The 13,304-nt window shown below is 35.3% G+C and overlaps 1 annotated feature.

The window, feature by feature from the left end:
* Nucleotides 12,524-13,081: an enhancer, noted in NCBI's record as "OCT4-NANOG hESC enhancer chrX:81913876-81914433 (GRCh37/hg19 assembly coordinates)". NCBI's record gives its function as "activates a minimal SCP1, AML or CMV promoter by ChIP-STARR-seq in primed H9 embryonic stem cells {active_cell/tissue: H9 hESC(primed)}" and the evidence as "EXISTENCE:reporter gene assay evidence [ECO:0000049][PMID:30033119]".

Here is a 13,304-nt window from a genome sequence, read left to right as displayed (position 1 = left end):
TGACCTGGAAGACCCCACCTCCAGTTTTCCTGAGTTTCTGGGCCACAGCAAAGTACATCCTACATGTATTGATGGATGTCTTAGGTCTCTCTAAAATGTGTAAAGCCAAGTAGTATGCTGACCACCTTGGGCACATATTCTCAGGATTTCCTGAGGGCTGTACCATTGGTCACTCATATTTGGCTCAGAATAAATGTCTTCAAATATTTTACAATTTCACTATTTTTGTCAATTATAATTTAATGACAGAATTACGTGGGGCCTCAGAAAAGACTCAGGATGCCGGAGGAGTTGCTCAGACTTTGATCTAAAGTCCAGCAGGGGCCCACTGAAAGCCTACCTGACTTTGAGCTTCTCCTCAAGTGGAACTGGTAAATCCTTCTGAGACTTGGATCTTTCTTTGGTTGATGGTTCTTGGCATATTTTGAGCTGTTTCTTATCCTCCTAGGAAGTTGTTGTTTAGGATCTTAATTCTGGCTTGGAGATATATTCTAAAGCATCTTCTCCATTGCCTTTTTCTAAAAACCAGGCAAACAACCCCTCTTCAGGCATCCTGTTTGGTTTCAATTTTGCATTTTAATGAGTCTTCTCCATTGATTTTTCTTCCCAAATTAAGGTCAGTTGGCTTGTTTGCATATTTGCATGAGGAACTGTACTGTCATTTTTAGAGATAAATAAGAGAGTAAGCTTCCTTAGCTCTGAAGTGAAAGGATATTTTTCTCCTTCCAGACAAAAGGCATTCCTGGGTGACTGCGGGCCAAGTGGGGAATGTCGGGGGGCTTAATTCCCATGATATGCAGTGGCTCTACAGGGAACTGCAAACAAAATTAGTTTAAAAAGGCTCTTTCAGGAAACATGTAAGAGCTGATCATTCTGTATTGTGATCCCTCTTAGAGGTGCTAGACCTCCTGAGAGAGAAACTAAGACATGTAAGAGGGCAGTAACAAATCAGTGGTGATACAATGTGGAGTCCCACACACAGTAAGCACACATTGATCCACCACATTAAACACTAGGCAAAAACTCAGTTCCTCCTTTTAATAAACAAATAAATAAAAATCAGAAAAAATATGGGAAACAAATAGTCTGAGAATAAGAAAAAACAAAGAGAATGACTTATTTTTGGGTACCCCATTGGTTTTATAATGCCTGTACTTGCAAGTGTTTGTGTAAAATGAAAAATTTCAGGGCATGCCAGGTTTTCCAGTACTTCCTCTATTACATATTTTGGTCTGTTGTGCACATTTTAAACTGATGTGCAACTTACATCAAGGAAAAATTCAGAGCCCAAAATTTGACCTGGCAACTACAGAGTTCCTAAGTTCTCTATTTTTATATTTTTCTTTCTGCCTGCTTAAATCTGCTATTACATTTCTACTGAGTTAAAAATCATTTTTTGAATCTAACCTTCTTCTGTTTGTTTTTGTAAATTGGCAAGCTTGTATTAATATCTCATGGCTAGAGTTTTGAAGTAAAAGCTACAGGATCTTTGTATATGTGTGCATATGTGTGTTTATGTGTACATACACATATTTTGTTATGTGTTTTGGCTACAAGCTACCAAATTGGCTTAAAGTTAAGGAGTACTCATAAATTAAGTAAACAATAGCCCAAATGCTTTTCAAGTTTGTGTGACTTAAGCCAAATCTTCATAAACTGGCTTTAAAATTATTGGAAAATAATATTAGAGATGTCTTATGAATTGTCAGCATTTTTGTTTCCATTTATTGGTCAAGCAGTTTCATACTTATTCCTGAAGAATACTGTGTTAAAAAATATCTTGGGTCCCCAAAATAACTAAGATAAAGGGAAAATTCAAGCTGGAAACTTCTTAGGGAGAACCTGCCTCCCATTCTATTTGAAGTTATCCCTCTGCTCACTGAGATAAATGCATATCTGATTGCCTCCTTTGGAAAGGCTAATCAAAAGTGCAAAATAATGCAACCATTTGTTTCTCACCTATCTGTGACCTGGAAGCCCCCTCCCCACTTTGAGTCTTTCTGCCTTTGCTTTGAGTTGTCCCACCTTTCCAGACCAAACCAATGGTCTTCTTACATATATTGATTGATGTCTCATATCTCTCTCAAATGTATAAAACCAAACTGTGCCCTAACCTTTGACAAAACTATTGGTGCTTGGTACCAGCGTGAGCTAACTTTATGGCTCAAATCAATAGGACAATTTGTTGAGGTCTGACAGCACCCCCCCCCTCCGAGAATTACTATCTCCCCAAATTTGATCAAGATCTACAGTTTATTTTGCTGTACAACTCCTTTTATCTTTTTTTGAAGTTTTACTTGCTTCCAACACAAGGAAGGCAAATTTTTTCTGCTTCCATAATGGTGGAAGGCAGGTAACTCCTTTATGGAGTTTGAGGTCACTTCCAACAGGGAAAATGAGATTTTATTTTTATTTTATTTTATTTTATTTTATTTTATTTTATTTTATTATTATTTTATTCCTGCTTCTAGAATGGTAGAGAGCAGTCTAAAGCCTAACACCCATCCCTAGGTCAGTTACTGAACTGGGTTTTGTCTTGTCTAAAGTTAAGATTAACAACTAGCTGGTCTTAATTTCTCCTTACCATTAGAGTACTCAGTAATCATATAAGTCGTGTGATCATTTGTTTTACTTAACTTTTTTTTTTAGTTGCTTGTTTCTGTTGTTGTTGTTGTTTCAATCCTTTTCCCATGGGTTTGACCAACTCTATCCACCTTGCTCAAATCTAAAAGAACGTTCCAAATTATAGGGAACAAGACCTCTAAAATGGCTGAATTCTGCCCTCACACACACACAAAAATGTGGTAGAGTGAGGGGGAAAAAAGGCCACAGAAGAAACAAAAAGGAAAGATTTTTTATTTTGACTACATAAGGGGCTTTATTTACATAACAAGGACACCTTTTTGCTATGCAGGCCATACCGAAAGCAATGGCTGTCCCCCCCATGCTACAGTTCGATAGCTAAAGTTCTGCCTTCTTTTTTTTGCACTACGACAGCATAGATTTGGTTCCTAATTCAAGGCCTTTCTGGTTTGATACTTGGTACTTCTGAAATAACAGCCATCTGTCCTAGCTGAAATATAGTAATGAAATTTATTTTTTTTTAAAGGAGCTCAATGGTTAGAAGTCAGCTTCATTAAAAGCTAATATCCAAGATGTGTGTTTGTGTGTATGTGTGCATGCATGTGTGTTTGTATGTAAAAGGCCTTCATGTGTTTGTTTTTGTTTTTCTCTCCTACGATCTTGTATTTTTTTGAACAAAAGTTAATTTTTTCTTCTCATTTGACTGAATTCTGTTTTCTTCATTAATAGCTATTGCAAGAGGCTACTCTGGGGTTTTTAAGGAAGAGTGAAGTTTAGATACTTAGAAAAGTCTTTGTTAAAAAAATATATGTGCAGTGTAAAAGCATCATGTGATCTAACCTCGAAATAATTCTCCACTTTTGGAGACCCAGGATTCAGTGTGGGCTCTGCCCAGAGCTCAGCGATCCAGTTAAAAGATAGATAGGTAGTCCATCTCTAAATAAAATTGGTCTCCTTATACAATCCTATGACAGATTTCTATAATTTTATGTTTGATTTGGCTCAAAGAAAAATAAAAGCATCTTGTTCTAGCACCACCAGACTTTTTCTCTCTGTATTTTATGATGTAAATTTTGCTGTATGATTTTCACCTGAATTGTTTCTTTTACTATGCAAATTTAAGGCTACTTATTTGAAAACTGCCTAGGGTGGTGAAACAGGTTATCAAGAATTTGAAAGTCTAAAATACGAAAAAAAGGGGGGCAGTTCATTATGAATCTATAGTATGTACTTCTATTGGCATGCCTAATACATCTATTTATGTGTTGTGTACACAATGTTTCACTACTGAAAATATATAAAAGAGCTCTACGTAATTGGCTTAAAGAAAAATAAAAGTGCTTAAATCAAATACTTTATCAGAAAAAAAAAGACTAGTCAAATGCTTTTTCAAGTTTACATTAAGTAAAATCTCTAATAAATAAGATACCGTTAAAATTATTGATAAAGTAATGTTACAAATGTCTTAAGAATTGCCAGCATACATTTTTTGTTTGCATTTATTAATAAAGCAATTTCATACTTAACCCTGCCAAATACTCTGTGTGTCAAGACACTATGATCTTTGCTTGTGTAATTTTTAATTAATAAGACAATGATATTGTTTTAATGAAGATAGCTACATCTTGAATTATTTAGTAAAATTACCATAACTTCTAATCTTGAGGCTTTAGGCAGTCTAGTCCACAGGGAGTAAGGAGGTTTGTTTTAGGAAAGGACTGTTATCATCTTTGTTTAAAGCTAAACTATAAACTAAGTTCCTCCCAAAGTCCAGGAATGAACAAGGACAGGTTGGAGGTTAGAAGCAAAATTGAGTCAGTTAGGTCATATCTTTTTCACTGTCTCAGTTATAATTTTGCAATGGCAGTTTCATAACATTAAATAATGACTATTGCAGTTTTCATAAACAATCTAGGTAATCAATTAAAATAAAAAATTAGGTAAATGTAATAAATACTTGTAGACAAACTTGTCATAATTTAGACTATAAATTTATATTAAATAGAATAATAAATATTTTGCTATTTGGGTATTTTCCAATAAAAATATATTTCAGGAAAATACCCTTGCTTAAAAAGGTGTGTTCTTTTTAGGACAGATGAACAAGTTTTGTCTAATTCAAAGCATATTTAAAGATTATATATAAAATAAGGTAAAGGAACCAGGAAATAAGAAAGATGTAGAGAAAATTATAAAAATAAAGAGGTATGTTTTTGGGGTAAGAAAGCTTAAAGAGAAACAATTTTATATGGGAAAGAATTTTGTATCGTAAATTTAGTCCTAAAATAAAATGACTGGATATTTAAGAAAGAGTGCTGTTCAGGACAAAGCAGAAAGTCCAAGGACGTCAGGAATGGTCTGTGTAAGTCACAACACGAGGATTAATTTAAAAAAAAACTTTTATATGATGAAATGTTTATAATTAAAATGAAACTATGTTATTTCTAGAGATTGAACTTCATGTAAAAAACACTTATACACTAAATTATTGGTTAGAACAATGAAATTTTAATTGCTTGATTCACTCTTAATAAATTGTAAGAGATCTTATAATCAGTGAACTTTTGTTGCCCCTTGCAATTTTTGGCTTTGTCTCCCCTTTTAAAAGGCACTTTTCCTTAAAGGTCTAAAGAAAATGTTTTCTTTCATCATAATATCCTGTGTACTAGAGAAGGTTTTTTCTTTTGCTTTTATAAGTTTTATCAAAATAATTTCTGTGCCATATTATTAAATTTGATTTGCTTAAGAAAAATTAAGATTTTTTTTAATTTAAGGTTATTATATCCATGTATCTTTCTGTATATGCTTTTAAAGTACTTGTGACTTTAAGTTACAGGGCTTTGAATCCTGGGTCTATAAAGGACACAAAGTCCTGCTAAATCTTAAACACTGAGCACAATTAAAACCTTATCTTCAGGCCCCATAGAAGAAGCCAATTAAAATAAAATGAATTTCTGAGACACAGGGCCAGAAATTAAAGCCATTCCACTCCTTAAGGCCCAGGGACTATCGTGGAAGAGGTGGTCATGTGAGATTGTAAGAACCAATTTTAAGAGATAAAATAAGTTCATTTTCTTTATAAATTAATAATTAATGTCAAAGGCACACTGATGCAAGACCAGCATATGAACCCCAGCATCAGATTAACAAGGTTTTCTTGAAGCATTAACCAACTACTTAATAAAGGTTATGAAGGTTATAAAAGGCTTATGAAAGTTATATGCTATGACTAAGATTAAAATTTTATAGATTGCTTACAAAATTTTGAAAAACACATTTAATTGGCTTCATGCTGTTTTTATTAGGGCTTCTTGCTTGGAAAATTAAGTCTTCTCTCTCAAAGAATGAAGATTTTTGCTTTTTTTAAAAATCCTCGAGTTATCACTTTGGTTAAATAAATGACTGTATAATGACCTATAATTTTATTTTGTAATATCAAGTGTTTTAAACTTTGATACTCTACAAACTTTCCAAAATCAAATTATAAATTATGTCTTTTTCTGACCTACTTAATCCTTTAAGATATCAGGTCCCCTGATATCCAAAAATAACGTAATTTGGCTTATTTGGTATAAAAATTATACAGGAAACATAATCAAATATGAAATGGTGTTTGGTTTTCTTTGGGCTTTATTTGTATAAATATGATACTGGGATGTGTTCCAAAATTATGGGAAACTCCTATGGTTGTAATATGACTTAGTGTACATTATCAGTAATAATCATAGTTGTTATGTTTAAATTATTGTGTGCCACAGAGGTAAAAAAAAAATTCCTAGTAAATTATGTCTTTGACTGTGGCTGCCCTAAAATATTTTGTCATTCATGGACAATTCTTGTCTTCTTTTGTTTCTCAGAAGGTGGTTTTATAATCAGCTATAAAACTCTAAAAGGTTCCCTTGAATCAAGTTTCTGATGACTTTGGAGATTGTGACCTCAGAATAGAGGGAAAACTTTTAGGACTCACGAAGAGCTAAAATGTTCATGAATATCAAGCAAAAGAGAAATTAACTGCATAGATTGAACTAATCTTTTTGATTATTTTGCTTAAAACATTGCTGATTCTTTGTTTTGTTTTTCTGTTTCTTGAAACTTTTCTTTTAAGCTATTGACAGCTTTTAAAAATTTATTATACTCCTATGAACAAAATTTGGAGCATATTTGTTTCTCTCTACTTAATTTCTCAAGAATTTGGAAACTATATAAGAGTATTCTTAAATTATGGCAATACAGTTATTTGTATAAGTGCAATAAGAATCTGTTTTGTTTGTCAGAGGACACAATTGGAGAAACTGGTTATTTTACCCAGGCTTTGACTGCAATGGTTTGCTTTCCTTTAAGGAATCAAACTTTACTTATGGAGTCAATAAAGCCCTTGGAAAAACTAGCCTCATAGTTTGTCTATACAGCCCCATGTACAGGGTTTCTGACCTGTGGTAAGTAAAGAATGTCACTTTCTAACAGGTCCGGAAGCCCCAGGTTTATCTTGTAATCTCAACAGAAGAAGAAATCCATCCAAATCATAGCTATCTGATGGTACAGATCCATGGCTGGGCTTGACTTTAAGGAAGCATTATCTGAGATTCCTTCTATGGAACCAAGTTCCATCAAAGCCAAATTTTTTTAAAAGCCTATGTGAAAAATAATTACTCTTGGTGCACTTTATACAAATAATCTGGACAATGATAATAAAGTAAACTGGTCCTACCATGATTTGCCTTTAGTAAAAGTGGGAAACTTGAGAGAAAAAAATTATGTTTCCAAAACTATAGTATACCTGTTTTTAGCTTCTAGTTTTGCCTGTTTTTCAAATTCTATTCTTTTCTATAGTTTAGACTGAATTATAATTTTTCTTGGCTCAAGACTTTAAAATGATATTTTCATTTTTTTCTTCCTTCTATTCGTTTTCCCCTCCATTTTTCCTAATTTGAAATCACCAAAGATTAAGCTGTGCTTTTGTAAATCCCTGCAAACTGAAGCTAGACAACTTACACTTCAGAAGAAAATAGCAGCAACTTATTTGCGTACATAAGCTATTTTCATCCCTGCCTACTGTTGTATGGACTTCAGAGTAATGTGGCCTTTATCAATTTTCCAGGATTCTTCTTTTATTTTTTGTTTTTTTCTCCCTTATTCCCCCTATCTTCTCTATATAGGACACGAGACTTCCCAACCTGCTAAAAATGAGCTTTCCTAATAACTCGGGACGTACTCATCTAGGAATAAACCATCCTAGCCATAACAGATCAGATAAAACCTGGGACCAGAGACACATTTTCTTCTAAAATGCTTTCTCCAAAAAGTTCTAAAGAGAAAAGGGGGGGAATGTGAAAGGAAAATAAATCTTGGGGCCTTTAAATCACTAAGCTAAAGGGAGAAGTCAAGATGGGAACTGCTTAAGACCAACCTGGCTCCCATTCTATTCCGTTATCCCTCTGCTCACTGAGATATATGATTGCCTTCTTTGTAGAGGATAATAAGAAACTCAAAAGAATGCAACAATTTGTCTCTTATCTACCTATTTGCCACCTCCCCACTTTGTGTCTTCTTGCCTTTGCTTCAGGTTGTTCCACCTTTCCAGACCGAACCAATGTTCATCTTGCATATGTTGGTTGATGTCTCATATCTCCCTAGAATGTATAAAACCAAACTGTGCTCTGACCACCTTGGGCACATGTTGTCTGGACTTCCTGAAGCTCTGTCACAGGTGTGTATCCTCAACCTTGGCAGATAAACTTTCTAAATTAACTGATGCCTGTCTCAGATTATTGGGGTTCACAAAGCCAAGTTGTAGGCTGATCATCTTGGGCACATATTTTCAGGATTTTTGAGGGCTGTGTCATGGGCCATTGGTTACTCATATTTGGCTCAAAATAATTCACTTCATCTTTTTTACTGAGTGTGACTTTTTTCACTGGCAGCATCATCTTAAGTTACCTGTTTGCCAATCATTTTTATAGCCTGTGAATGATAGAGTCACCCTTAAGCAAGAACTCTGAAGTAAAATACACAGGTATTGTGTTGATCAGAAGACACAGTTGTTTTTATTAAACCAAAAACATTTAAGTAGTCTTATCTACTAAAGATTTATGCAAATCATGTGAACTAAAGTGCATTTAAATTAGTTTGCATTTTCCTGTTAACATATTTAAAAGCTTATTTTTTTAAGCCAATTAACTGGAGTTTTTTCTTCCTGAATGACCAAAAATCTCATGAGCCTCACAGAGTCTTTTATTATTTTGGTCATTCAAGAAGAAAGTTTTAGACCTGTGAATTGAACCAAACCTCAGGATTTGATTGTTTTTTTTCCCTTTTTGACCAAATGTCAAGTGAAGAAAGTTTAAAAAAACTCTAACGGAAGATTCAAAACAAAACCTTAACCTCAGAGAAAAGTGAAAATCATAAATCTGTGATCAGTATAACCTCAGGAATAACAAATGAAACTTGTACTTAACAATAGGGCTTCAATTATAAACGTGTCAAGTTAGGAATGTATATGGCTCGAAGTCTGAAGTTTCAACTAAGCTGGAAGGAGGCAAATCAAAAAAGGGTCTTTAAAGTCAGTTAGAGATCCCTGCTGACTTTGATGAGTTCGATGATTCAAAGTCTTTTGTGCTGATACCAAAGCTCTGATTGTCTGTAAAGTGATGGAATTCACTGGAGGACCACTTTGGGTCCCTTTATGGTAGCCAAAAGATTAACCTTAAATAATTAGATTCAGAAAATATTATTGAGTATAGAGTTTATTTAAGCTCAAATCTTAAGGATGGCCGCCTGGGATTATTAACTCAAGTTGCCCTGAATATATACTTCAATTTGCAGCAATTACAAGTGGATTTTTAAAGGAAAAAAAAGGCAAGAACAAAAATGCCTTTAAAAATTTTCTCCAGTCATGGGTTTATGGTTCATGACTGAAGTCCCACATTCATGTCTCTTTGCCTGATAAATCTTGCATATTTCATATAGCTCGGACTGCTCTGAGCTACTTTTCTTTTATCATCAGATTTAGACTGAGCCATGCTATTGGCACCCAATTGTTTTCAGCTTGCAAATAGCCTGACATGGGCCTTCTCAACCTCCATAATTGCATGAGCTAACTCTCCTAATAAAGATCGTCATGTGTGTGTGTGTTTGTGTGTGTGTGTGTGTGTGTGTGTATTTACTATTGGTTCTGTCTCTCTAGAATACCTTGGTTAGTACAGATTTTGGTCCAAAGACTGGTTCTAGAGAGGATAATTTTCTGGAAAATTTTTTAAGAAGTTTTTTTTTGTGTTTCTGGAATTAGCTTTCTAATTGGAACCTAAATGTTAACCTAAATGTTAGCAATTCTTATTTTAAGAATAGACTCAGAGGACACTGATAGTCTACGTTATAAATTGTTTATAAGATATATAAGCTATCCGCAGTTGATAATCCTAAGAAACCACTTAAAAAGGCAAATAACTTGATAACTCGGTATATGACATTTTTGAACATTAGTGAAAAACCACAAAATATAATGATGCTGGTAGGTTGCTTCTAATTTCACTGAATAAGGTGATGAAAGAAAAGGATAAACTCAGGGATTCAAATCTCAGACTCCAGTTTGTATAAATACCCTAAGGTGTCAAATTGTGTCCTGAGAGAGAATCTTCTCTCCTGTAACCACCAAAATGAATTTGCTGAAAAATCACACTCAAGCTTTTATCATGCAATTAGCTCAATTACAATAAAAGTTGAATTATCAGTCTCCCAGTGTGTCTAATTTAAAGTGAAGTTATATATTGATGGAAAAAATGAGATCCTGTAAGTTGGGTTGGGAGTATGCAGAAAATCCTGATGAGGCTGGGAACATTTGGTTCCTAAATTCTTATTACTCTTATTTGTCTGAAGTGACCTACCCGCCCTCATCCTCATTCACTGTGACAGCATCATCATCACCGACAGTAGTACAGGCCTTTGCATTTCTGTCTCAGGGGTTAACTCTATATTGCTTGAGAAAATGGTGATAGTATATCCTGAGGCAGTTGCCAAGCAAAACAATACTGACTTTCCTCAGAACCCACCCCCACCATCCCTCTTTGCTTATAGACCTATAGCTAGACTCAAGTCCCAGCAGGCCTTTAAAGATGAGGTAAAGAGTGTAACCCATGAGGGGATGTGCTACTCTATGAAAGAAATACTTGAGTTTTCTAAGAATAAGTGTGAGGGGAACACATGTGGGAACAAATATCATGGGTGTGGGATAATGGTGAAAGAAACATAAAGTTGGACAAGGGTGAATATATTGATATGGGCAGACCACATAGTGATTCTTCATTTGGTGTTACACCTCATAGAGCTAAAAAATGTCATAAAAATTTGGTTGGTTAGCTGAAACATGAATCAAAAGCTGACCCCCTGTGGTTAAGTTGCAGATGCCTGATATCCCTTGATTTAATGTAAATTAGGAAGGGATTCAAAAGCTTAGGAAGACTGGAATGCTAGAGTGGATTTGCCACTTAAAATGTAGTCACCCACAATGGGAGCATCCAGAAGACATATCCTTCACCAAAACTTTGAAAAATAGGTTTGTGAGAGGAGCCCTAGGATTTCTGAAGATCTCCATAATGGCTTTTCTTTGTAAGTCAGACTTTATTGTGGTCATTCAATTGAAAAACTTAAAGGCTGTGGGAATAGTTTGATCCTGGGGTGGCAGGAACTATGTGGCCCCACTCAACCATCAAAAATAAGTCAGGCATAGTTATCATAATAGATAGAAGTAAAGCAAGAATCAGAATAGTCTGACTTGTGTAGATCTATGGTACTGGCTAGTTAATCATGATTTTCTTAGAAGTAAAATAGCTACAAGGCCTATTAAATTTTTATTTGATCTGTATACATAGAAAACATTCAAGTAAAGTGAAAATTTATTCAGTACTGTTAATACTTCTCATATCTTTTTACAAAGAGACCTACAGCCTTTTCCCAGAGTAACTGTACATTGGGAAAAAGGAAATGATTAGACATTTCAAAAACCACCGAACAGTGGCTTAGAACTGACATTGATTCCTTGAGACCAAAATGTCACTGTGGTGCTCCACTTAGAGTAAGGGTTTATGGAAGTCAGGTAATCAATGGAGTTTTATCTCAGGTCTGACTTACAGTGGGTCCAGTGGATCTCTGAACCCATACTGAGGTTATTTCCCCAGTTCCAGATGCATACTTGGAATAGGAATACTTAGAAACTGGAAGAATACCCACATTGGTTCCCTGACCTGTGTTATAAGGGCTACTATGATATAAAAGGCCAAATGAAAGCAATTTGGGGATGCAGAGCTCGTGATTCCCAACACATCCCTGTTTAACTTTCCTATTTGGCCCATGCAGAAGACAGATGAATTCTGGAGAATAACAGTGAATCATGTAAGCTTCAACAATTGGTAACTACAACTGCAGCTGCTGTACCAAATGAGGCTTCATTGCTTGAGTGAATTAACACACTTTCTGGTACCTGGCATGCAGCTATTGATCTGGCAAATGCCTTTTTCTCCATACCTGTCTACAAGATCTACTAAATAAAGTTTGTTTTCAGCTGGCAAGGCCTAAGATACACCTTCACTATCCTACATTAGGGTTATAAAAACACTTCAGCCTCTTATCACAATTTAGTTATCAGGGATCTTGAAAAACTATCACTTCTACAAGACATCACACTTGTCCATTACATCAATAACATTAAGCTGATTGGATCTAGTGAGCTTAAAGTAGCAAGTGCTCTGTATCTATTGATAAGATACTTGTGTGTCAAAGGTAGTAAATCCAACTAAAATTCAGGGACCTTCCATCTCAGTGAAATCTTTTAGTGTCCAGTGGTGTTAGGCATGCCACTATATCTCTTCTAAGGTAAATAATAAATTGTTGCATCTGGACCATCCCACAGCCAAGGAACAGGCACATTGTTTAGAAAGTCTATTTGTATTTTGGAGGCAATAGTTTCCTCATTTGAGTCTGTTACTCTGGTCCACCTACCAAGTAATCCAAAAAGCTGCTAGTTTTGAGTGGAGCCCAGGATAGAAGGCTCTGCAACAGGTCCAGACTGCTGTGCAAGCTACTCTGACACTGGAGCTATATGCTTCAGCAGATTCAGTGGTACTTAAGATGCCAATGGCAGATAGGGATGCTGATTGAAGCCTTTGTTAGGCTTCTATAGGTGAATAGCAGCGGGAGGCCTAAGGATTTTAGTACAACACTCTGCTATTATTCACAGATAAGTATTCTTTTGTTTGAGAGATGGTTTTAGGCCCGCTAATGGGCCTTCATAGAAATTGATTGCTTGACAATGGGCCACCACGTTACCAGGCAACCTGAGCTGCCTTTCATGAATTGAGTGTTATCTGACCCACTAAGCCATAAACTGGGTGTGCACAACAACACTCTATCATAATGTGGAAATTGGATATACATGATCATGCCGGAACAGGTCCTAAAAGCACAACTAAGCTACATAACATAAAGAAGTGGCCCAAATATTTATGGTTCACACTCCTGTTACACTGCCTTCTCTGTCTCAGCCTACACTTATGGCCTCATAGAGAGTGTCTTATTAGCAGTTGACAAAGAAAGAGAATACTAGGGCCTGGTTTGCAGATGGTTCTGCATGATATAAAAGCATCATTCAAAAGTGGACAACTGCAGCACTATGGCTCATTTCTAGGACATCTATTACGGACAATTTTGAAGAGAAACCTTCTCAATGGGCA

The sequence above is a fragment of the Homo sapiens genome, chromosome X (genome assembly GCF_000001405.40).
Source record: "Homo sapiens chromosome X, GRCh38.p14 Primary Assembly".
NCBI classification, from domain to species: Eukaryota; Metazoa; Chordata; class Mammalia; order Primates; family Hominidae; genus Homo; species Homo sapiens.
This window is presented reverse-complemented; position numbering and strand designations above follow the sequence as displayed.